Source organism: Homo sapiens, chromosome 10, assembly GCF_000001405.40.
Source record: "Homo sapiens chromosome 10, GRCh38.p14 Primary Assembly".
In the NCBI taxonomy this organism is placed as follows: Eukaryota; Metazoa; Chordata; class Mammalia; order Primates; family Hominidae; genus Homo; species Homo sapiens.
This window is the reverse complement of record NC_000010.11, coordinates 99703562-99725316: the sequence shown is the minus strand read 5'-3', so window position 1 is coordinate 99725316 and position 21755 is coordinate 99703562. Positions and strand designations below refer to the sequence as shown.

The 21755-nt window shown below is 41.1% G+C and overlaps 2 protein-coding genes across 15 annotated transcripts in view; one reads left to right on the top strand and one right to left on the bottom strand.

The window, feature by feature from the left end:
- The window catches only part of COX15 (cytochrome c oxidase assembly factor COX15), a 37835-nt gene that overhangs the window by 6811 nt on the left and 9269 nt on the right, over nucleotides 1-21755 (top strand). For 2 of the 12 annotated variants that reach the window (NM_001320976.2, NM_078470.6), the window contains exons 5-9: nucleotides 1194-1361; nucleotides 4249-4330; nucleotides 6817-6971; nucleotides 8856-8969; nucleotides 10599-14449. In NM_001320976.2, the coding sequence (NP_001307905.1) occupies nucleotides 1194-1361; nucleotides 4249-4330; nucleotides 6817-6971; nucleotides 8856-8969; nucleotides 10599-10730 (651 nt within the window). In that variant the 3' untranslated portion in view covers nucleotides 10731-14449. Of the gene's footprint in view, nucleotides 1-1193; nucleotides 1362-4248; nucleotides 4331-6816; nucleotides 6972-8837; nucleotides 8970-10598; nucleotides 14450-21755 lie in introns of those variants that run through there. The other 10 variants (NR_164009.1, NM_001320975.2, NM_001372026.1 and 7 more) reach the window with 9 other exon arrangements.
- The window catches only part of ENTPD7 (ectonucleoside triphosphate diphosphohydrolase 7), a 51733-nt gene continuing 44053 nt past the window's right edge, over nucleotides 14076-21755 (bottom strand). For all 3 annotated transcript variants that reach the window (NM_001349962.2, NM_020354.5, NM_001349963.2), the window contains one exon: nucleotides 14076-20865. In NM_001349962.2, the coding sequence (NP_001336891.1) occupies nucleotides 20634-20865 (232 nt within the window). In that variant the 3' untranslated portion in view covers nucleotides 14076-20633. The remainder of the gene's footprint in view (nucleotides 20866-21755) is intronic.

Here is a 21755-nt window from a genome sequence, read left to right as displayed (position 1 = left end):
CTCTTGCAGATGAAATCAAGGTAATTAGAATATCCAGGGTAATCTTGAAAGGGGAGAGAAATGCCCAAAAAGATTTCCTGAAGAGTATATATTTAGAAGTGGCAGAGTCCACCTCTTTGACCTGATTCTACTGGCAAGTGGGAGTGAAAGGGCTGTCTTATTTCATATGATTGGAACTAACAATTGTTTGGTTAATTGAAAAAGCCAGTTAAAGCAGAGAATCATAGAATATGATACATAACATAAACTTTTAAACTTAAATCTGTACGTTCATTACCAACTTTTACAAAATCAAGGCCTTTTCTTTGACTATGCGTCCCCAGATTGGCATTCAACTGCAGGTTTCTTATATCCCCATAAACTGTGGTTTTGCTTAAAGCGGAGTGGGAACTTAGATATTTGCAAAGCGATCTGCATGCAAAACCTTATTGATTTTTATGATTTTCCCCTGAAACTTTTATAATTGTCTTATTCCAACCTAACTTGACAGTAGATGTTTTTAAGCATTTACCTTTATTAAGTTTCTCCAAAACATTCAATCTAGTTTTATGAGATATATCCATGGACCTTTTTTTTTTTTTAAAGCTCATCAGCTACTGTTAGTGTTAGTGTATTTTATGCATGGCCCAAGACAATTCTTCCAGTGTGGCCCAGGGAAGCCAAAAGATCAGACACTTCTGATCTAAATAGTAGTTAAGTATTAATGGTGATATGTGAAGAACTGTGGATAAATCATGAATCTTGGGACACTGCGTATTGGGGAGGGTATGGAAAGAGGAGGGGTGGGGTAGAGAGTACTCCTGATAGCTCATTTCCTCAGTAAAGTTGAACAGATCAGGCCGGGTGTGGTGGCTTACGCCTGTAATACCAGCACTTTGGTAGGCTGAGGTGGGCGGATCACGAGGTCAAGAGATTGACACCATCTGGCCAACATGGTGAAACCCCATCTCTACTAAAAATACAAAAATTAGCCAGGCGTGGTGATGCGCAACTGTAGTCCCAGCCACTTGGGAGGCTGAGGCAGGAGAATCACTTGAACCTGGGAGGCGGAGATTGCAGTGAGCCAAGATCCCGCCACTGCACTCCAGCCTGGTGACAGAGTGAGACTCTGTCTCAAAAAAACAACAAAAAAAAGAAAGTTGAACAGATCATTTTAACCTTGTTTTGTTTGCTTCATCTCTTGGGGGTTCTAGGGTCTGTTGGGATGGTATATGGTGAAAAGTGGACTAGAAGAAAAATCAGACTCCCATGACATCCCTCGGGTCAGTCAGTACCGCCTTGCTGCCCACCTGGGATCAGCCCTGGTTCTTTATTGTGCCAGCTTGTGGACCTCACTGTCACTGCTACTCCCTCCGCACAAGGTAAGAGTTGTGTGCAAATATCTGTGTTCAAGACCCCGCTTTTGGTTCTTTTGGATATATATCTAGAAGTAGAATTGCTGGATCATATAGGAGTTGAATATTTTGCCAACATTTTCTATTGGCAAAGGTGAAACAAATTGAAAAATAGAGTGGGAGGGAGTACCAACAACAAGAAATATCCCAGTCGCTTTACCTCTGACTCCTAGAAGGGATGGTGGATGGCAAAGTGAGAAAGATCAGAACAGAGGTGTTTCTGAACTTCTGGTGTGGACAAGAGCTATATTGTTCGTTAAATGGGGACCTGCCAGTTAAGTCTAATAGTAAACCTTAGTGATTTTGTCTGAAGTATTTTTCTGTCTGCTGATTAAAGCAAAGTACTAGTTTTTCATTTTATGCTTTGATTTAAAAGCAAGGTATAACATTTTTTTGAGGCCTTCATTAATAATAGAGGTTCCAAGACACCACACCCTTATAGGACATTTTTTTCCCTAGAATTTTTTTTTAAATGAGTCTTGGCCAGGCGCGGTGGCTCACGCCTGTAATCCCAGCACTTTGGGAGGCAGAGGCAGGCAGATCACCTGAGGTTGGGAGTTTGAGACCAGCCTGACCAACCTGGAGAAACCCCATCTCTACTAAAAATATAAAATTAGCCAGCCATGGTGGCACATGCCTGTAATCCCAGCTACTCGAGAGGCTGAGGCAGGAGAATTGCTTGAATCCGGGAGGCAGAGGTTGCAGTGAGCTGAGATGGCACCATTGCAGTCTAGCCTGGGCAACAAGAGCGAAATTCCATCTCCAAAAAAAAAAAAAGAGTCTTATATTAGGTATTGAAATCATGGGTTGACCTGAGTAAGCTGTTCCTGGAGAAAAGTTTGAGATGACAGCAGGACTCTTAAGTCGAATCATCCATTAGGTACTTGGAGCTAGTAGCTAGATCCCAGTAAGGACTGGACGTGTTGTCTTGGCAGTCATTCCCACAGAGAAGCCAAATTGGGTTGAAATATTGATACAGTAGACAACCACTGAATAATTCCACATCTGAAAAATAAGGAATTATTTGAAAGTCTCCTGACTTTCAAAGCCAAACTTCATTTATTTACTTATGTATTTATTTATTTATTTGAGATGGAGTCTTGCTCTGTTGCCCAGGCTGGAGTGCAGTGGTGTGACCTTGGCTCACTGCAACCTCCACCTCCCGGGTTCAAGCAATTCTTCAGCCTCAGCCTCCCGAGTAGCTGGGACTACAGGCGCACACCACCATGCTCGGCTAATTTTCTGTATTTTTAGTAGAGACAGGGTTTCACCATGTTGGCCAGGCTGCTCTTAAACTCCTGACCTCAGGTGATCCACCCGCCTCGGCCTCCCAAAGTTCTGGGATTACAGGTGTGAGCCACCGTGCCCATCAAAGCCAAACTTCTAAAATGAATTCATTTTAATTCAGACTTCTAAAATGAATTCATCTTAATGAATTCATTTTGCCTGCATCTATAGCTGCTGCTTCCTGACAATCTATTCCTTCTTTTCAGTCCCTGTAATTATCTTCCTCACCCAACCCAATACATACACACTCACACATTTACCCACACTTACACATAAACCCACACACTCTTGCTACTGAAATTGTACTCTTAAAGGTTACTGATGACTTTATCAATTGTTTTTCTCTGTTAGTTTAGATTCACCTAATTACAAAAAGGATTTGAGATGCTACCCAATGAGCCATATAGTGCTATGCTGTCCAACACAGTAGCTACTAGCTACATATGGCTATTTAAATTTTAACTAATTAAGGCTGGGCACGGTGGCTCACACCTGTAATCCCAGCACTTTGGGAGGCTGAGGCGGGTGGATCATTTGAGGTCAGGAGTTTGAGACCAGCCTGGCCAACATAGTGAAACCCCCATCTCTACTAAAAGTTAAAAAATTAGCTGGGCAATAGTGGCGCGCACCTGTAATCCCAGCTACTTGGGAGGCTGAGGCAGGAGAATCGCTTGAGCCTGGGAGGTGGAGGTTGCAGTGAGCCAAGATTGTGCCACTGCACTCCAGTCTGGGCGACAAAGTGAGAAAAAAAATTTTTTTAATTAAATAAAATTTATTTACATAAGCTTTTTGTTTATTTAAACTTTATATTTAAATAAAATTAATTTTTTATTTAATTTTCAGTCATACTAGCCACATGTTTCAAGCTCTCCTTAGGTAGATGATAGAACTTTTCCATCACAGAAAGTTCTATTGGACAGTGCTGATATACTGTCCTATAATATGTTAGTAATGATACCTAACTTTTCATATAGTAGAGTGTAAGCCATTTGAGGGTGGCATAGTCACCTGTTTATAAAGTTCTTATTCATATTTGATGATTCACTTATTAGTATTAGAAGTTGGTAATAAGAATAAAAACAAATTTTGATTTTATCAAAAACACTAAATGGAGGAATCTCTAAGCACTTTATGCAATTTTGATTCTGACTATATTTGCTAAACACTAATATCACACACATGAAAATCCAGTCCTGATCTTAAGCTACATCCTTTCAACCGTGATGAAGCATTGTTTCCTGAATAATGGAAATCATTCAGTTTTTGAACAGATGCGTAATGAGTACCTATGTGCCAATCACTAGGCTAAGATTGCTCTAGTAAAAAAGATGGCAGTTCCTGCCTTCACAAAACTTATGGGGTAGAAGGGAAAACAGATAGTAATCTATAATTATAATAAAATACAGTACATGTTGGAACAGAATATCTGCCAGGAGTACTTAACCTAGTCTAGGGGTCAGAGAAGATCTGATCTTAATTTGTCACTTGGGTTTGGCCTTAGAGATCTTTGCTGCCTCTCATTGTTCCTGCAACACAGTTTAACTGAATGATTTTTTTTCATATTTAGTTGCCTGAAACCCACCAACTCCTACAGTTGAGACGATTTGCTCATGGAACAGCAGGTCTGGTGTTCCTTACGGCCCTCTCAGGTAGGACTCAGCTCATCAAAGATGACCTGTTTGCATTGCACTCTAAGCTGGGACCTCTTGCCTAATGCTTTGCCCCTTCCTCCTGCATCTTTATATTTCCTTTTCACATCTGTTTCTCTCATTCCCCCATCTTCACCCTGTTTCCTGTTCCTTTCTCTCTTCCAAAAATTCTACTTTACTGTCAATTGAACAAAAATATTGAACATCTACCTAGATCCAGATGGCCTAGGTTCAAATCCTGGCTTCACTACCTGTGAACTATATGACCTTTGCAAGCTCTGTAACCTCTCTGGGCCTTAGAGACCTTATCTATAAAATGGAGATTACGACAACAGTATGACTGCTAAATGTGAAATGTGTAGCATCGTTGTTGGCATGTAGCAAAGGCTACATAAGTGTTAGCTGTTACTATATATAAACATTGTTATCATCACATTACATCAACATGGGTCAGAGAAAAGGCTTGCCCTCAGAGATGGTTGCAGGTGGAGAGTTCATTGGCACAGAGAGACCAACACAGGATTTTTTCATTCTTTTTTTTGAGACTGAGTCTCACTCTGTTGCCCAGGCTGGAGTGCAGTGGCATGATCTCAGCTCACTGCAACCTCTGCCTCCCTAAATCCAAGCGATTCTCGTGCCTCAGCCTCCCGAGTAGCTAAGACTACAGGTGCACACCACCACGCCCAGCTGATTTTTGTATTTTTAGTAGAGATGGGGTTTCACCATGTTGGCCAGGCTGGCCTCGAACTTCTGACCTCAGGTGATCCACCCGCCTTAGCCTCCCAAAGTGCTGGGATTACAGGCATGAGCTACCATGCCTGGCCGTTTTCATTCTTTAACCCACACTTCCACCACTGCTGCTCTCATTCTAGAACTGCACTATCCAGTAGAGGAGCCTGTAGCCTCATGTGGATATTTAAACTTAAATTAATTAAGGTTAAATAAAATTTAAAATTTAGTTCTTCAGTCACACTAGCAACATTTCAGATGCTCCACAGGCACATGTGGCTAGGGGCTAGTATATTGGTTGGCACAAATATAGAATACTTCCACTCTCACAGAAAGTTCTATTGATAGTACTGCTCTGGACTAAAAATAATATTGATTCAAACCAATGAGCCACTCAACACTTTTATTTTTGGCATAAGAGCATGAATTTTTACTTCATAAGGGACATTTAAAAAAAATATGGAGTGGGTTGGGCATGGTGGCTCACACCTGTAATTCCAGCACTTTGGGATGCTGAGGCAGGTAGATTGCTTGAGCCAGGGAGTTCAAGACCAGCCTGGGCAACATGGTGAAACCTCGTCTCTACAAAAAATACAAAAATTAGCCATGTGTGGTGGTATTCACCTGTAGTCTCAGCTACTCAGGGGGCTGAGGCGGGAGGATTGCTTGAGCCCAGGAGGTCGAGGCTGCAGTGAGCGGAGATTGCGCTGCTGCACTCCAGCCTGGGTGACAGAGCAAGACCCTGACTCAAAAAAAGAAAAAAAGGCCAGGCATGGTGGCTTATGCCTGTAATCCCAGCACTTTGGGAGGCCGAGGCAGGCGGATCACCTGAGGTTGGGAGTTCGAGACCAGCCTGGTCAACGTGGTGAAACCTCGTCTCTACCAAAGGGCGCACCTATAGTCCCAGCTACTCGGGAGGCTGAGGCAGAAGAATTGCATGAACCCTGGAGGCAGAGGTTGCAGTGAGCCGAGATCATGCCACTGCACTCCAGCCTGGGGGACAGAGCCAGACTGCGTCTCAAAAAAAAAAAGAAAGAAAAAAGCGAGTGTGACCCAAACATTTCTGGATTTTCTTTGATAATAAATAATGGATCAGACATCCATTAATTCATGAATACCCTCTTTATTTGTTTATCCAGGATTTAGTTTATAAGTTTTGGGATTTTTCTCACTTCCGTATTCAGTCAACAAACATTTATTGAGCATTTGGGGAAGACAGATAACGCACAATAGAAACATAATGTGCTAGATGATATTTAGTGCCATGAAGAAAAATAAATTAGGGTCAGGAGACAGAAAGTGGGCTAGGATCATCAAGCGAAATCTCTTTGGTAAGGTGACATCTGAGTGGAAGCTGAGGAAATAAGGGAGTCAGTCATGCAGACATCTGTGGGAGAGCATTTCTAAAATAAATCAGTAGCACTCAGTGGCGGGGTGAGGAGGGCATCAAAATCACTAAGGGAATTTTTCTAAGCTAATAAGCCTCTCCCCCTCCCCCCACACCACAGCCTCTACTCCACTTCTCTAGAGGAAGCAGAATCTTGGGGTGGGAGCAGGTAAGGATGCAGAGATTTGAAGTTTCCTTGGTGATTGTGATGTATCTTCTCTGTTGGAGAACTCCTGTTGCAGATATGTCTATTATTCTCTGACTGTTCCCTTAGTTTAACTCTGGGATAACAGACTTTTTCTATATCAGAACTAGTATTTGGTCTCTTCTTCCTCTCATTTTAATAAATACCATTTACCTTGGAATACAGGGGCTTTTGTGGCAGGGCTAGATGCTGGGCTTGTTTATAACTCCTTTCCCAAAATGGGAGAATCCTGGATCCCGGAGGACCTCTTTACCTTCTCCCCCATCCTGAGGAATGTTTTTGAGAATCCCACCATGGTGCAGTTTGATCACCGGATTCTGGTAAGTGTAGTTGGTGGTTACCTGCCAGAGAGCACAGGAGCCTATCATAGGCTTTGGGGTGTCAGTGAAGCACTGATGGCAACACTGAGAGGGTAGAGCAGGAACTATATTTCCTGCTCTCTTTGGAAGAAATTTTAGGACCATTTCTCTAATCTAATGTCTTTGTCCTCATTATTCACCCCTGTCCCCCTACCCCAACCCCAGCCAAATTCTAGCTTTCAGGACGTTGCCAGCTTCTTAAAAGTTCAAATGTGCCTTTTACCACTTGGCAAGTGATAACCTCCCTCAATTCTGCACGTACCTAGAAAGTCATTTCAGCAGAAATGTGGTTGAGTAGAGAAGCGAATGCGGAGACCATAGCTGCTAAGCACGTAGCTCTCGGAGCTAAACCAGAAGCTCAAGGAGCCAGGAGCTTCACCAGTACTTTTCATTCTATTTAAGCGAATATGTTTTGAGGGTCTGCTATGGGCCATTCAAAGATTGGCTTGGAGGCCTGTGTGTGATGAATTGGAGCGGGGAAAGATGAGCAGTAAGGAGACTGTGAGAAGCATAGTGCTGCTGCGTAATGCCAGGGAGAGTGATGGAGATGGGGCCTACATGGTGGGAGTGGGACTTGAGAAGAATGATGCATTTGAGAGAGAATTTAAAGGAATAGAGAGGCTGGGCATGGTGGCTCACACCTATAATCCTAGCACTTTGGGAGGCTGAGGCGAGAGGATTGTTTGAGCAGGAGTTTGAGGCTGCAGTAAGCTGTGATCACGTTACTGCATTCTAGCCTGGGAGACAGAGTGAGAGCCTGTCTCTTAAAAAATTAAATTTAATTTAAAAATAAGAGCACTGGGCGCAATGGCTCATGCCTGTAATCCCAGCACTTTGGGAGGCTAAGGCAAGAGGATCGCTTGAGCCCAAGAGTTCAAGACCAGCCTGGGCAACACAGGGAGACCTCATCTCTACGATAAATAAATAAATAAAGGAAAAGAGTTAATAAGATTGGCTGTCAGGAATAAAGGTGAAGAAAGATCAAGTGAAATCCCAAAGTTTCTTCTACAGCATGCTTGAAACATGACCTACAGGGATGGGACCCTCAGAATGAGTGTGGAGCTAGAGGTGGGAGGATGTCATCAGATGGAGGTATGTTGAGTGTGAGATGAGAGCAGCACGTCCAGAGAGAGGGGGCCAGAGGGCTCAGCTGTCCAACGGGGGCTGGGCTGAGGCATGTTACCTGGTGTGGGCTGAGTCCCCACCTGCGCACAGTATTTTAGCATAAGTAAAGCCTGGTTGAAATTGTCATTGTGGACAGCACTGAAAAGGAAATGAAGTGAAATAAATGTAGAAATATGATAGAAAACATTCTCCCTGATACCGTGGAAGAGGAAGGAGACCATTATTGCCAGTCCTGGACCCTTGTTCTGAAGAGATAGGAATGAAAATGAGACTTTAGGTCTTTTTTAGCACCAGCTGGCAGCACCAGCACTTTCTCCACTCACAGCCCAGGAAAATAATAACCCTCATGTGCTGGGGTCAGCCCTGCTTTAAGAATATAGGATTAGAGATATGGTTAGGGATAAGGATGCAAAGAATTAAAAATGAGGGGGACACCCACATTGGAAGGTGGATGAGATCACTGGGAGTGAGGGTGTATAAAGTACATACAGAATCTTAGGTGGAGCCTGGGTGATACCGACGTTTAAGTGGCAAGCAGAAGAGGATGGTGGAAGAGACAGCCTGTGGAGGAGTGATCAGGCTGGGACTGCAGGGAGGTTCTCTGTGACTGGTACAGGAAAGTACTTCATGGTTGCTGAGTGGTTCTAGAGGAGATACATGTAAGGTGAGTTAGAAACCTGGCACTTCTATCTAATGTGATAGACTCTTTCTTCCCTGCAGGGAATCACTTCAGTCACTGCCATTACAGTGCTCTACTTCCTCTCTCGGAGAATTCCCCTTCCTAGAAGGACCAAGATGGCAGCAGTGACTCTGCTGGCTTTGGCGTATACACAGGTATAAACCACTTCTTTTTGTTCTGACAGTATCCCCAATACAAAGTTAAAAAAGGGGCCGGGCACAGTGGCTCATGGCTGTAATCCCAGCACTTTGGGAGGCCTAGGTGGGCAGATCACTTGAGCCAGGAATTCAAGACTAGCCTGGGCAACATGGCAAAACCCCATCTCTACAAAAAAAATACAAAAATTAGATGGGCATGTTGGTGTGTGCCTGTAGTCCAAACTACTTGGGAGGCTGAGATGGGAGGATCACCTGAGCCAGGGAGGTTGAGGCTGCAGTGAGTCAAGATCGCACCGCTGCACCCCAGCCTAGACAACAGAGTGAGACCCTGTCTGTTTAAAAAAAAAAAAAAAAAAAAGGAAAGGTGACAGACTAGGAGAAAATATTTTCCATATTTATAATAAATTAAAAGATTAATAACCGGAAAATAAGTAAAGGACATCAATACACAATTACCACAAAAACAATGATTAATGGCCAGTAAACATGAAAAGCTGTTCAGCTTCACTTATAATCAGAGAGGAGCAAATTTAAAAAATAAGTACCATTTTGTGCCTATCAAATTGGAAAAAAGTGAAAAAAAAGATAATCAGGTATTGCCATGGGCATAGGAAAATGGATACTTTCAAATATTCCTGGTGAGAGCATGAGTCAGTACAGTTTTTTCCAGAAGGCAATTTGGCAATATCTTTTTTTTTTTTTTTTAGAGATGGAGTCTCACTCTGTCACCCAGGCTGGCAATATCTTTTAAAAGTTAAATGGGTAATTCTTTGGCCCAGCAAATGAACTTATTAGTGTCAGTCCTAGAAACAGTCCAATGCAACAAAGACCTTTTGTATGAGAAAATTCATCATAGAATTGTGATAGTGAAAAATTGGAAACAACCTAAATAGTTAAAAAACTATGGGCCGGGCACAGTGGCTCACGCCTGTAATCCCAGCACTTTGGGAGGCCGAGGTGGGCGGATTACCTGAGGTCAGGAGTTCAAGACCAGCCTGGCCAACATGATGAAACTCTGTCTCTACTAAAAAATACAAAAATTAGCCAGGCGGGGTGGCACACGCCTGTAATCCCAGCTACTTGGGAGGCTGAGGCAGGAGAATTGCTTGAGCCCTGGAAGTGGAGGTTGCAGTGAGCCAAGATCATGCCATTGCACTCCAGCCTGGCAGACAGAGTGAAACTCTGTCTCAAAACAAAACAAAACAAAAAAAACTATGGTATATCCATACTGTGCGATACTGCACAGCAGTTTAATAAGATCTCAATACATAGTGTATATTGCTAAGTGAAAAAAAGCAAGTGACAGAACAATATGTTTTTTAAAAGCACAAAACTATATATTTATTTCTCTATAAACATACTAAAGTACAAGTATGCAGAAACTGGTAACAGTGACTACTCTGGGGAACTGGGATGGATTGAAGAATAAGGGGAATTTTAGGTTTATCAATTTTGTTCGAATTTCTTTCATTGTAAGCATATTTGCTTGTGAAATTAAAAATGTGTGTATTTTAAGTGCTCTGATAGGAGGATGTGGAGGTTTGTGTGTGGTTATCCACGCCTGGCCATTTTCAATGTGAACTTTGGGTTACTGCCTTTCCTATTGCCTTCTTTCCTTTGTGACAGGTGGGCTTGGGCATCAGCACGCTGCTGATGTATGTCCCAACTCCTCTGGCCGCCACTCACCAGTCAGGCTCCTTGGCTTTGCTCACTGGTGCTCTTTGGCTGATGAATGAACTCCGAAGAGTCCCAAAATGATTCTTAGAGGACCAGCCTCCTGGGACTGTGACTGCTTTTGAGAGCTCTTCAGAGATCATAAGAACTTGGGCTTTTCTACGAGATGACCTTGACATACCAAGTGGTTTCCAAATGGTCAACTTACTTAAAAATCTTTTCCTGTTTTGAGATAGTCACTGGATCAAGAATGCATTAAGTGTGGTTACCCTAAATGTTCCCTTTTAAATCTGCTTTTCATGTTGAAAATCAGTTTTAATGTAGAGAAAGAAATGTCTGCCATTTGCTGCTTAACAGGCTTTGTGTCAGGTTTTTCAGTGTTGGCAAGCTCTTGGTTCTACGTGGATGATTTCTACGTGGATGTTCTCCTGAGTCCTTAATTCTGCCTAAATAGAATTTCTTTATGATCTTAACTTCACTTCCATTAGGTGAAGATTGAAAGGATAGGATTGACATACCCAAAGTAGCCAGCTGGTCTTCAGCAAAAAAAAAAAAGCTAATGTCTTCTAATATCCTGATTTTCAGAAATGGGGAAATTGCAGATTTTGACAAGCTTAATGTGTATATGTAGCAAAATGGTTTTTAAGTACTTGGAAAAGGAGGTAATCGCCAAATAGTTCCATTTTTTTTTTTTTTTTTGAGACAGAGTTTCACTCTTGTTGCCCAGGCTGGAGTACAATGGCGTGATCTCAGCTCACTCTGCAACCTCCACTTCCCAGGTTCAAGCGATTCTCATGCCTCAGCCTCCCGAGTAGCTGGGACTACAGGCACAAGTCACCATGCCTGGCTAATTTTGTATTTTTAGTAGAGAAGGGGTTTCACCACATTGGCCGGGCTGGTCTTGAACTCCTGACCTCAGGTAATCCGCCCATCTCGGCTTCCCAAAGTGCTGAGATTACAGGCATGGGCCACCACGCCCAGCTAGTTCCTCTTTTGATAAGGCTGTTAACATTACAAGGTCAGAGAGAGGAATGGAATCGACAGTATAAATTGGTTCCTGAGAGGGTTTCCTAACAGCTTTGTAATAAGAAAAATATGGCCTTGATGGTGTAGTGCATGGACATCTACCCAGATAAACAAATTGTTGACTGCTGAATTAATGTGATTTTGGTCTCTATTGATATTTCATAGGGCCCTGTCTTATTCAACTTTACTTTTAAAATCAGTGATTTGGATGAAGGCATCAGAAACATCTGATTTGAGGATGGAGCAACCCAATATTGCTAATATAATAGATGACAGTGGCAACTGAAAACAGTCCCAGAATGACCCCATCGAGATGAAATTAAACAGATTAGAAATGTAACATACTCATTTAAATTAAATAAGTTGTATAAGTTTGGGCTGAAGAAACCTGGCCTTATATCATTTCATATAAAAAAGACGGGATTTTAGTTGTCCTCAGGTTCAATATGAACCAAGTAGTATTCATGTTGTTATTATATGATAACAGAAAAATTAGTGGTACTTCAGGTTTTATCAGTAGAAGTGTCACAGCCATAGTCAAAATACCCCTAACATACTGCATTTCACTCTGGGTACCAAATTTAAGCAAGATATTGATGGCCACTAAGTGTGTATCCAGAAGAAGAGATCAGAATGATGAGTCCAGAACCCCTGTCACACAGGGAATAGGTGAAGGAACTAGGGATATTTAACTGGAGCAGAGAACATCTGGAGAGAGAGCAAGATTCCTGTCCTTGAGAAGTTGAAGCCGTCTCATGCAGAAGAGGGAATGAGCTTCCATTATGCTGCAGAGCTGGCAGCAATGGATGAAAGTTGCAGGAAGTTAGTTTTAGTTCTGTAGAAGGCAAGAGTAGGGTAGACCAAATCAAATGCTCACTGGGGTCAGGCTGATGGAGACAGTAACACTGGCGAGCAGGTGCCCCAGCTCGGACTATACTGCTGAGTTCTGGTCTGTTGCTGCCACTCTACAGGTCCAGGGTTGTTAGATCTTCTGGGTTTTTGTTTTGCTTTTTGAAATAAGGAAAATAAGCTTATCTTAAGTTTATTTTTCCTTGGATATACCTAGATTCCATACAGTGACAATACAAATACAAAGGAAGAACATCTGGATTTCATCCTTGACCTCATTTACAAAGCAAAAAGAGATGCTGGATTCAGATATAAATGTTTAATTTTGCAGTGTTTAAGTCAGCAAATCTTCTGTTTTTTAAAAATAAGCCACATATCTAGATTTTTCTGTGAAAGCTCTCAATTAAGTGTTGGGAACTAATTTCAAGATTTTAAAAAATGTTATGCAGGCTTAACGTGTCTGAGAGCCATAAATGACCTAACGTTTCCCGTTAGTCTCTGAACTAGGTGATCTCAGTTCTCTTTCAACTCCAGTACTCTGTAAGTTTCTGTGACCTGTAGTGTACCATTCTCAGGTGGTGATATGGTTTGGATGTTTTGTCCCCTCCAAATCTCATGTTCAAAGTGTGACATTCAGTGTTAGAGGTGGGCCTAGTAGGAGGTATTTGGGTCATGGGGGCGGATCCCTTATGTATGACTTTGTGCCATCCCCATAGTAATGAGTGAGTTCTCACTCTGGTTGTTTATGCAAGAGCTGGTTGTTTAAAAGAGCCTGGAACTTCCTCCTCTCTCGCTTGCTCTCTCTCACCATGTGACACACTGGCTCCCCTTCACCTTCTGCCATGATTGTAAGCTTCGTGAGGCCCTCACCAGAAGCAGATGCCAGCGCCATGCTTCCTATACAGTTCTATGCAGAACAGTGAGCCAAATAAACCTCTTTTCTTTCTAAAAATTGTCAGTATTTCCTTATAGCAATGCAAGCCGACTAACACAGGTGATTCTTAGCAAAACAGTTTGTCAATTTTTCATAAATGCTGGACCCTGGCTGGGCTTATGCTATTGCCTAGAAGAGATTCCCAACTTCTCTCTTATTTGAATCTTAGAAAAATCCCAAAGCCCAAGCCTCATCTAAGACCAATTAAGTCACAATCCCTGGAGGAAGTAAAAGGCATATTTTTAAAGTTCCCCAGGTGATTCCAATGTGCAGACAAGTCTAGGGACCACTGGCTTAGGTCCTAATAGCCTAGTTACCTTAGAAAGTTCTGACTAGCTTATTCCCATTCCCTTCTAATTTCCACCCCACCTTATCATTTGATCTGCTATGTTGCTCCTATTAGTATGTTAGTAGGATATGGTCTCTTCTGGATAGAATCCTTCAAAGAAAGGGAACTGTAGTTCCTGAGGCAGGTTCCCACACCATCCTCTCCTGATCCTCAAACCCAGGTTGTCCTTAGTTAGTAACTGAGTCAGCAGAGGGCAGTATGACCCAACCCAAAGAACCATATATTAATGCTTCTACAGTTGCCTCCAAGGAAGTAGCAACTCATGAGTAAGTTAAGGTTTCAGATGTTTTACTTCATTTTTCTTTTATTACAGATGATGAGTACATTTGGAAAAACAACTGGTTGCATTTAGCTATATAACTGTATTATATCTATGAGCTTCTGGTGAATGATTATCTTAGGGTTTTTTTTGTATTTATGTTATTCCCAGCACTCCCAGACACATATCAAATATTGAATTAGTGAATGCATGAATGGAAAATGGATAATTACAGATTGATGTTCCAAATACCTTTTTCCAAAAAAACAAGTCATCACATACCTATAGGATTAAATAGATTTCCCTTAATATTTTCAAAGGTCTCTCTGCACTTACGTCCATTGTTTTTAAAACATGAAGGAAATTAAAACACATGGCTTTCTTAATCAGTCAACCTAGAATTTTTTGTCTGTAACTTAGACTGACAAATACTATCTATTGTAGCAGGGGTAATGACTAGCAACTCCCTAAAGCAATGTTGGTTGCAGAGATCAACACTGATAATCATGATTTTAGGATAACCAGTTTATCTACAGCTACCCTTGTGGTCCTGGGATGAATGGTGGGTTATATATCAGCATATGTAACACATATACCCATGTCCCTGCATAAGGGAGAATGCATCACCTCTCTAACATGCATCACACATTTTCCTCAACACTGACCTAAAATGTTTGTCAGTGAGAATTTTAAGAATTCAAAATTCAACAAAATTATTGTTTAATGTGAAGCAGTAGAAAAAACAGAGTCTTAACAACTCCCCAAAGCAATGTAATACAGGCAGCCTTTGGTTTTTTAAAGTGTAGATCATAATAAAAAGATGTCTTTCACTACACTCCGCAGAGGCCATTGATCAAGGTAGAAATAAAGGGGGAGTACATGGCATGTACTTCAGGACTTCAACTAAAGGGTAATTGTGGAATGAGAATTTCAAATACAACATAGTAACTGAAACACTAGAAACCAAAGTATGTGTCTGGGATCCCTGCTTGCAGAAAAACATTTATGAAGCTAGTAAGGGGCGTCTTCACCAGCAGCAGGCCAAATGCCGGCAAGTGCTCTGTAGGAGGGGCCACTTAGGAAAGTACCAGGGCTGCCTTGGAGTGGAGAAGGAGGAGTGGCCACCAGAGGGTATACAAGTGGTTGCCCTTTAAAAGAAGAGGCTCAGGAGCAGACATGTCTTTATGCTAGCCTGAAGTCATGCATGTGTGGCTATACATAGCCTGTGATTCAGAAGACTTTTCAACTTTGGTTTTCATAAAAATGGCAAGCAATGATGGATTACATTTTAAAAGTGAAAGCCCTTGTAGTATGAGTAATGATTCAGTTTTACTAATAAAAGGATCTCCGTATTGCTCAGATTTTCAGAGAAACAAAATGGTCAACTGGTGTGTTATTCCTTCCTCGTCCCTCTGATAACGGTACTGACAAACTGGAAAATAATGAAATATTAGAGCAAAAGAGAAATGTGTAATAACACAAGAGAAGTCTATTAGGATATAAGGAAGATAAGTAGACAGAGCAGGCTTAAAATGAAGCTTGAACAAGCCATCTGCAGAAACAGAAAACAGGGTAGATGGGACACCCAAACAGGGTGCCACAGCTTTCCAACTTAGATCCAGGTTATGAGAGAATGAGCCAAGAACACAACCTAAAAGTTTTCAATTTGAGGTATATTCACTGTTGCTATTCTATAGTATTAATCAAAATATTATTGACTAATAATCCTGTTATTATTAATCACAACTTTTGGTTTTGAGTCTTAGTTTTTTAACAGCAATATTTTTTGTAACACCAGGAAAATCCTCACAAGTTATTGCCCCAGGGGCTGGAATCTGGAGCTAGCGTCCCTAAGAGACTAATATGGGAGAATTTGAAACATCTGCTATTTCTACCATAATTCTTATTCCCAATCAACATTACACCACATACCACAGCAAAAAGGACAATTAGATACTAGTTTTGAATTAATTTGAAAAGTTTAAAGACAACAAAAAGAAACAGCCCTCTGTTTCTGTAACAGAGTCTGGAAACTGCCCAAGAATTACAACGAAGTTCTTTAATGAGGTAGATGTAATAGGCATTTATACCTTCATCTAGGCTGTAGTCATCTAATGAATTGCTTGGATGTTGTAGTAAAGGAAATTGTATAAAATTGTTTTAAAAAGATGTATAAAATTTAAAAGTACGAAAAGAAATACAGGAACAAGAATAGATGTAGTGAAAACTTGGCACTATTTCTGACAAAGTATTTTTTTCAAAGTTTATTCCTAAATGTGAGCAAAGCAGTCATAAATGAATGTCAGAAGCAGTTGTAAAGATGGGGCATGGTTAGTTGTGGCCAGCTGTTTTATAAAAAATAGATTCTGTTTATACTTGCAGAAAGATTCTGTTAATGAGCATTTCATTGTAGCTGACAAAGTAGTTGGGCTAGGAGGCCAGTCACTATGACTTTGCACATATTACAACTGCTCTAGGCCTCAGTTTTATCACCCATATAAATCAAGGGGGTTGACCAGAAGCTTTAAAACTCTTCTGAAATTTATTATGATTACTATTAGAAACTCTGTTCCCACCAACCTTATCATCAGGGGTTATGGATAAAATAGGAGGCTCTTTTGGGCAGCCTGGTCTTCTAAACCAAAGGACAAAATGCTCTTCCCAAAATCATATGATTTTTCTACCTTGTCTTCTGCCTTTAGTTTCTAATCTTGTCTAGCCTCTTTGTTTGATAGATGAGAACCGAACCAGAGATGGTAAGTGACTGGCCTGGGGTACCAGAGCTAGTAAATGACAAAGCCAGAACTAGAATCCAGGTCTGCTATTCGTTAAGCCTACTGTTCTTTCCCTTAAGTGATACCACTCACTTGTCTTTCATCCCTGACAAAAAACAAAACATAAAACTGTGAGAAGCATCTGTTTAGATGATATCAGTGAGAAGTATAAATTATTTCAAAAATATAAATATGGATGTGATAATAAATGTTAATGCCTAAAAACACTAGCTTAGCAAGTGCATGGCAGACATTTTTCAGCAATCACTGGATATGATCTTGAAGTTAAAGGAATCTCTTAGGATGAGGAGGGGGTGGGGCAGGATACTTTGGAAGACATTTGGAGAATAAATAGAAGATTGGTGGAAAGTGATGAAAATTTCCCAGACCAGAATAGACACTGTGGACTACTAGAGCAGGGAGGGAGAGAGGAGGGCATGGATTAAAGAACTATCTGTTAGGTACTATGCTCACCACCTGGTGATGGGATCTGTACCCCAAACCTCAGCATCACTCAATATACTCATGTAACAAACCTGCACTTGTACCCCCTGAATTTGTTCCTTGGTGTGGGAACAAAAGTTTCCCAGATTAAGGAAATTCAAGGAGCTAAAGTACAGAGAGAAAAAATGGTATAATTTGGCTTAGAGTTAACTGCAACTTAAGTGAATGAAATGCCACATAAATGGGTATTTTACATATTTTTCATTATGTTCTATGACAAGAATTTTGGGGAAAGTGATGGATTGTGCTATCACAAGACTAAAAAGCATCACTACAAGCCACGGACTCCTATTTTGATGTTTGTGACCTGTCTCAGTAATAACAAGAGTCCTAAAACAGTTCAGGTTCATTGTCTCTGTTAACAAGAGTGGTTGGTAAGATTCAAAGGAACCAGTGGAATGTGAATTTTATGACACCATAATTATCTTCATGGGAGAACCACCAAAGTGCAGAAATGCAAATAGAAGAGAAATCTTTAAAAACCAAAGGGTATGGCAAGATAGATTTCTGCTCCTAGAAGCAAATTATTTTATTATAAGGAAGAAATATATTTAAGTAATTGGCTCTCAGCAAGGAGTAAGTGGCTTTTGTTTCTAGCTAATAAGATTTCATTTAAAATCTATTAATTGGGAGAAGAGAATAAACAAAGGAGCCCATACCAATAATAAATATTCAGTTCTTCTGAGGGATATGACAAAATTTTCCTTCAGTACTGTGGAACTCCTGGAGACCTTGCTCATGGTAATAAAGACAAGCCTAGATACCATAATATTAAAGTAATGAACAGGAAATAACACATTAAACACTCCAAGACAAAATAAGAATAAGAAATACATATATATTGAAAAAGTGATAAATGTAGGTATCCTGAGATTCTCAACTATAAAAAGAACAGTAATAGCAATTTGAATAATACACATAAAATCCTTAAGAGTGTCTGCTACATAACAAAGGCATAACAAATAATGGCTATTATTACAGCCAGGATGAAGAATACTAATAAGAGCTTTCAAACTGGACCAACCACTACTTCCGTGTTTCAAGTTCATTTTTAGCACATGAACATGATCACTGTTAGCCAGTGAAGTAGCTTCTGACTAGATCATTGATTAGATCTCACAAAAAACCAAAAATAGTATATGGAAACCAAGATGAGAGCAAAAGAAAACGTTACCTGAGTAGGCAGCTAAAACATATTTTGACATTATTTTTAAGCAGCATTCATAAGGTTCACGGAGCACAGATAATAAAAGAAAAAGCAATGTAGAAGTCTTAAAAACCAAAGGAAATTGCTATGAAAGAAACCCTAATGAAAGGTAAGAGATTTCCAAAGGAAACAGAGGGCAGGTGCAGTAGCTCATGCTTGTAATCCCAGCACTTTGGGAGGCTGAGGTGGGAGGATTGCTTGAGCCCAAGAGTTTGAGACCAGCCTGGACAACACAGACTCCATCTCTAAAAAAATAAAATAAAAAATTAGCTGAGTGTGGTGGCGCACACCTGTAGTCCCAGCTACTCTGGAGTCTGAGTTGGGAGGACTGTTTGAGCCCAGGAGGTTGAGGCTGCGGTGAGCCATGATGTTGCACAACTGCACTCCAGCCTGGGTGACAGCGTGAGGCCCTGTCTCCAAGAAAAAAAAAAAGGAACAGAGTCTTTGCATGCTTAATCCATGTTTATCTAATTTTAAAACAATACAAGACTGGTCATCTTTTTATCTACCAACCAAGGGTCAGTATACTTATTTTTATCTTAGTTTATTTCTAGGATGATCTTAATTTCTTTTTCCCTGTTTTATGAAGCATTTAGTTCCTTTCTGTTCCCAGTATGAAATTTATTTTTGAAGAATTCTACTTTTGTTTTCTTTAAAGCCAGGGACTTTTTCCCCTATTAATCTAATCCCAAAAATCAAAGGTGACGAAAAGAAAAGAAAATGCTCCCAGCCGTGGGAGCATATTCGTGGAAAGGACATTCAAGGCTACATGTAGGAAAGGGTAAAATATAAGAAAGATTCCATGCGGACCCTGATGAAGAGAAATCCTCATGCAATTTAATGGCTAAATGTGGAGGAGAAGCAAAGCTCTGGAAGGGTAGTGGGTGAAGATGTAATTATTATGGCTTTTCCTCTCGCTTCATTAATGGAAGTGCTGTTTGTGACTCAGCAGTCTCTTAATAGAGGTTCTGAAAGTTGCCAGATGGCTTATTAACAGATTGATCTATTCCAAATTTGCTCCCTTTCAGACATTCCAAGAGTCATAAATTGAGAAACTTCTATTTCTCAGAAATAATTAATAAGAACTTTGATTTTATTGCCTTTGCCCACTCTCCTGATTCTGTTCCCCTTTTCTTTAAAAACAACCCAAATACATTCCCCATACTACATACTGATTTTAGCAGTGAAATGAAAGAACTCTCTTTATATCTTCCTGTGTAAGGGCTCACAAAAACAGGCCCAGGGAACAGTGACCTAAAATCAGACAAATCCAGGTTCCCAGTCCCCATCACAGTTTCTCCATCCTACTAACACACTTAAGGCTCAAAAAGCAAAATTAATGCCCAAACAGCCTGTGAGGCACATAAAAATGGAAAAATTTTCTATCCTCATCATACCAGGCATCAGATAAGATACTAAAATCTTCCACAGACCATTCATTTAGAAGGGGTTCTAACCTTTAAAATCATGTACTAACATCATCAACACTACGACAGGGATCTTGGATCACACCCATGATGGCTTCTTTGTCAAGGAAGCAAGGAAGTTATATCATTTTGGTGCCTGGAAATTCCTATGTGGTCGATTGAACTGCAAAGATCTTGGATCCCTGTTAAAGGTTGTGGATCTCCACATAAATGATATCTCTGTTACAGAGAAAGAAGGGGCTGCTGCACTTGCTAGAATGTCTCTGGCTTTGTATCAGATGCTACAAATTTCATTTCAACCAGGCTTCCAGTGTGCCAAATGCCAAACTTCATGCTTTAGCAAGGGAAGAAAAGGTGAGATTCTAGGAACACACCAGACCTCTCAGAAGGAGTCGAAGCCTGCTTCACTTGGACAAAGCTTGGTCCCCCGTATTAGCACCAATCTCCTGTCATTTAGTTCCTCACAGATTAAATTATAGCTTCTCTCAGAGAAGACCTGGGTACGGAGAAGGAATTACGGTAGAAAGTAAAGTAGAAATTCCAAGGGCAAATATCCACAAGGTCAGACATCACAGCATCTGAGGCTATATAAGAAAGTGGAGGAATTCAATGAGCAGCAACTCGGGGGTGCTCAAGCTTCTCTAGTCCTGGTCCAGCCTCACGGCCCCACCTGTACTCCCATCATGGGCACCACCTCTTCAAGCCACAGCAAGTCCAATGGAGCTGAGGCTCGTGTTTGTCGGTGGTGAATTCGGCGTAGCCGCAGAAGGTATAGGAAGATGGCCAGTAGCACCACCAGGATACAGGCAAAGAAGAGATAGTGGTTGTATACAAAGGAGAGACGGAACCAGCTACCATGGGCTTGTCGGACACCTTCCTGCCGAAGATCCCTAGGGAAGAATTAAGAATTTGTAGGTGGAAAAAACTGTTAAGTTTCAAAGGGAGACATTTACTGATTTGAAAGGCCCAGTAGTGTTATCACATTTATTCCATCCACATAAACATTTTATGACACCAGCTCCACAGAGCAGGCAAAGCTGAAGAACATCCCCCGCCCCAGGAGCCCTTCTGTGTCTTCCTTCCCACGGCCCCCAGAAGGGACCTCCAGGCTTACACCCTCCAGAATCTAAGCCAAGATGGGAAGGCCTTTGAAATTGAATCCCAAAAAATGAACAGAAAGGCTAGATTGATCACCTGTAACATAAGTCTTAAAATATGGCTTATAAATACAGTACTAATGAGAATAGGGTATCCCCTGAATCCAATAAAGAAATCAGAGTGTGTGTGTCTAAATCCTTTTTTTAAAGTTGCTATGCAGCCAAGTGCAGTGGCACATGCTTGTAATCAAAGCACTTTGGGAGGCCAGGCCAGGAGAATTGCTTGAAGCCAGGAGTTCAAAACCAGCCTGGTCAACATAACAAGACCCCATCTCTGCAAAAGAAAAATCAAAAAATTAGCTGGGCATGGTGGCGAGCACCTGTATTCCCAGCTACTCAGAAGGCTGAGGCAGGAGAATCACTTGAGCCCAGGAGTTCAAGGTTGCAGTGAGCTATGAACACGGCACTGCCACCACACTCAGCCTGGGCAACAGAGCAAGACCCTGTCTCAAAAAAATAATAAAAAATAAAGGTACTATGTTTCCTTAGGATCTAGGATATATCTAAATAAAGCTGTTACCTGATCAACTGTATTACAGTCAGATAAAAATAAGGCGATATGAAAACCAAGTGTAATGGTCCACCTGGCTAGAACAGAAGCCACTCTTCAGCAGTCCAGATCC